At 45.9% G+C, this 3,210-nt stretch overlaps 1 annotated feature.

The window, feature by feature from the left end:
• Positions 2,349-2,643: a silencer, noted in NCBI's record as "tiled region #11289; K562 Repressive non-DNase unmatched - State 3:PromF". NCBI's record gives its function as "represses a minimal TATA promoter and a strong SV40 promoter by Sharpr-MPRA in K562 cells {active_cell/tissue: K562}" and the evidence as "EXISTENCE:reporter gene assay evidence [ECO:0000049][PMID:27701403]".

Consider the following 3,210-nt stretch of genomic DNA (forward strand, 5'->3'; position numbering starts at 1 on the left):
CTTCATCAGGATGGGTTGATGATTTTGATTTGGGGGTAGGTTCAAAGTTTGGAGAGCACAGAGGACATGCAAAAGTAATTCCATGTGCTTCTCAGATTATGGATTTGGTGTGTAAGAAAGGTTTTATTTTTAAATTTTTCTTAATTCTCTCAAGTTTTTCTTCTGGTGGAAAACTCAATGTTGGTCATTATTAGAGCTTTTTATTTTCACCTCCGGTTTAAAAAGGTCCTGGGGTCTTACTCACTGCCAAGCATTGGAGGGTGAGCCTCTTGTCATCCAGGTACCTCTCCCATGCCTACCATCTTAGCTTACATGGTACCTCCAGGCTTGGCAGCCCTGCTGTTTCTTCAAGGCTCAGGAATTTATGGTGAGGCAGGGATCCTACCTACTCACTAGCTGGACAGCTATGTTTTTCAGCTAGTTAATAGAACTGTCTATACACAAGGAGGAAAAGGAAGTGAGAACAAGAATGAAAGAAAGGGAAAGAGAGAAGAGAATAGAGAAGAGAAGAGAGAGAAGAGAAGAGAAGAGAAGAGAGGAAGGAGTGCCCAATGAGGTGCAAATGTCCATGAGAGAACACTGGGGTTAAGTCAGGTGAACAGGCAGTAAAAATCCAAAGCTCCCCTGTGTTGGACAGATGTCTGGTCCTTAAGGTACCTTTCTTAGCTGGGTGGTCTAACAACACCTTTCAAAAATGTGCCTGCCCCCCCACCAAAAAATAGGGGAAAAAACATGCTTCCCCAGAAAGACAAATACCACATGTTCTGACTCATATGTGGGAGCTAAAAAAGTGGATCTCATGAAGACAGAGAGTAGAATAATGGTTGCCAGAGGCTTGGAAGGGTAATGAGGAGGAGGGCATGAAGAGAAGTTGATTAATGGGTGAAAATATACAGTTTGATTGAAGAAATAAAACCTAGTGTTCAATAAATCAGTAGGGTAACTATAGTTTACAATAAGCCATTTTACCTTTCAAGATAGCTAGAAGAGAATAATTCAACTATTTCCAGCATAAAGACAAATGTTTAAAGTGATGGTTATCCCAACTACACTGACTTGATCAAACTTACAAATTATATAAATGTATTAAATTATCACATGTACCTTGAAGCTATGTATATTTATTATGTATCAATAAGAAATTGTTTCCGAAAAAGTGCCCCCCAATTGTTTTTATGGGAACTTTCCTCTTCTTTGGGACCAGCCCCTGAGAGTTAATATAGATCAAGTTGGAATACATTTGTTTTGTTTATATTTTAAGCTTATAAGTGAGAAAGGCCATTTCTTTCTCTCTCTCTCTAAGAGGTAGATATGAGCTGAACATAACAGCCGTACAATTTTAAGCTTCCAGGATGAAATTTTCCTTCTCCAAGGGATGAGGTTTTTAGTGCTGAACCCCTGTTAGCCTCAATAGGGAAGGCACCGGGATCAAGATGCCAAAGAAGAGACCGAGAGTCAGCAAAGGAGATGGAGTTTTATTAGGGGCTTCCATACAGGGGAGAGAGTCCAGTGGCCGTGGGCTGAATGGGATAACTGCTTTATGTGCAGAAACAGTCCAGTGGCAGTGGGCTGGACAAGATATCTGCCTTACATACAGTCCAGTGGCATTGGGCTGGGCAGGAAAACCATAACCACTTGCAAATAACATGCAGTTTATGTAGAATTTTCACTGACCACCCTCTCCCTAACAACCTCCCCTTTATAACCTTCACTTAAGCCAAAATTCAGGGTCTCAGTTCTCTGTAAGACCTGTGTCCCACGGGTGGGCTAGGGGCTCAGTTGCTCCTCATAGATAAGGAACGACTCTCCTGGTTGGCTGTTCCCCGATCCCATAGTTTGGAATGCACCTTCAGGTATACCTTCCATGCAGAGTCAGTCCAAGGGTATGCTTAAGCTATTGCTGCCAGGTGCGTTTACCCTACAGGTTTAAATTTACCTTTCAAGCAGTCTGCGCTATTATTTGGGAACACCATCACAGTGAATGTTTAATCAGGAAGCAAGAACCCCTGCTTTGTCCTTGTGGAAGATGTGAACATTAGGAACTTACCCAAAGGCCTGGGCCTAGGGTTCCTGAAGTTCAGTCCTTGAAGTCCCGCCTTGGGGGGTCTGCTGGACAATAGTAATGGGTGGGTGTTCTAATGAGTCTCTCTGTGGATGTGGTTGGTGCTTTTTAGCTTGGTAGTGGCAGGAAGCATTGCTTTTCTTTGTAAGAATTCCAATCTCTGTGCTTCTTGCTTGTTCTTGGGAGGTGAGTGTGTGTGGCGTGTGTGTGGTGTGTGTGGGGTGGTGTGTGGGGGGGGTTGTGTGTGTGTAGGGTGTGTGTGAGTTGTGTGTGTGTGGTGTGTGTGTGGTGTATGTGTGGGGTTGTGTGTGTAGGGTGTGTGTGAGGTGTGTGTGTGTGGTGTGTGTGTGGTGTGGTGTGTGTGTGTGGTGTGTGTGGGGTGGTGTATGTGGTGTGTGTGTGGGGTTGTGGTGTGTGTATGTAGGATATGTGTGAGTTGTGTGTGGGGTGTGTGTGGGGTGTGTGTGGGGTTGTGTGTGTGGGGGGTGGTTGGGGGGGTGTGTGGGGGGTTGTAGGGTGTGTGTGAATTGTGTGTGTGGTGTGTGTGTGTGCGGTGTGTGTGTGGGGTGGTGTGTGTGGAGGGTGTGTGTGGGGTGGTGTGTGTGTGGTGTGTGTGGGGTGGTGTGTGTGTGTGGGGTTGTGGTGTGTGTGTAGGATGTGTGTGGTGTGTGTATATGATGTGTGCGAGTGTGTGTGTCTGGTGTGTGTGTGTGAATATTAAGCTGCTGCTCATGACAGGCAGGAGCTGAGACAGCTGTAAGGTGGGTCGCGCTGGAGAAGAGGGTGAGAAGCACTGCATTCCGTCACACTGGGTTTGGTCACACCAAAACCTGGATCTCACAGCAATGTTACAGAAGACTGAATAGGATTCCTGGAAATAATGTCCAGTTGAAGGACGTTGCCATTGTCAATCAGCTTTGTAAAACAGCAGGACCTGGGACCAGAAAAGGGTTCAGGAGGCAAGTCTCAGGCTGGAATAGGGTGAGGGGGGGCGGGGAGTTCGCCTGTCTTGCGCTCTTGTGGAGGTTGAGGTCCAGATGCTGAATAGAACAGTATTGAGTTCGCCTCTAGTGGGAATGGTAAGCTAGGACTATCTATTTGATGTGTGTAGAGGATCAGGCAAAGAGGAGGCAAGCAAGGGAAACTGC

Source organism: Homo sapiens, chromosome 9 (genome assembly GCF_000001405.40).
Source record: "Homo sapiens chromosome 9, GRCh38.p14 Primary Assembly".
Taxonomy (NCBI): domain Eukaryota; kingdom Metazoa; phylum Chordata; class Mammalia; order Primates; family Hominidae; genus Homo; species Homo sapiens.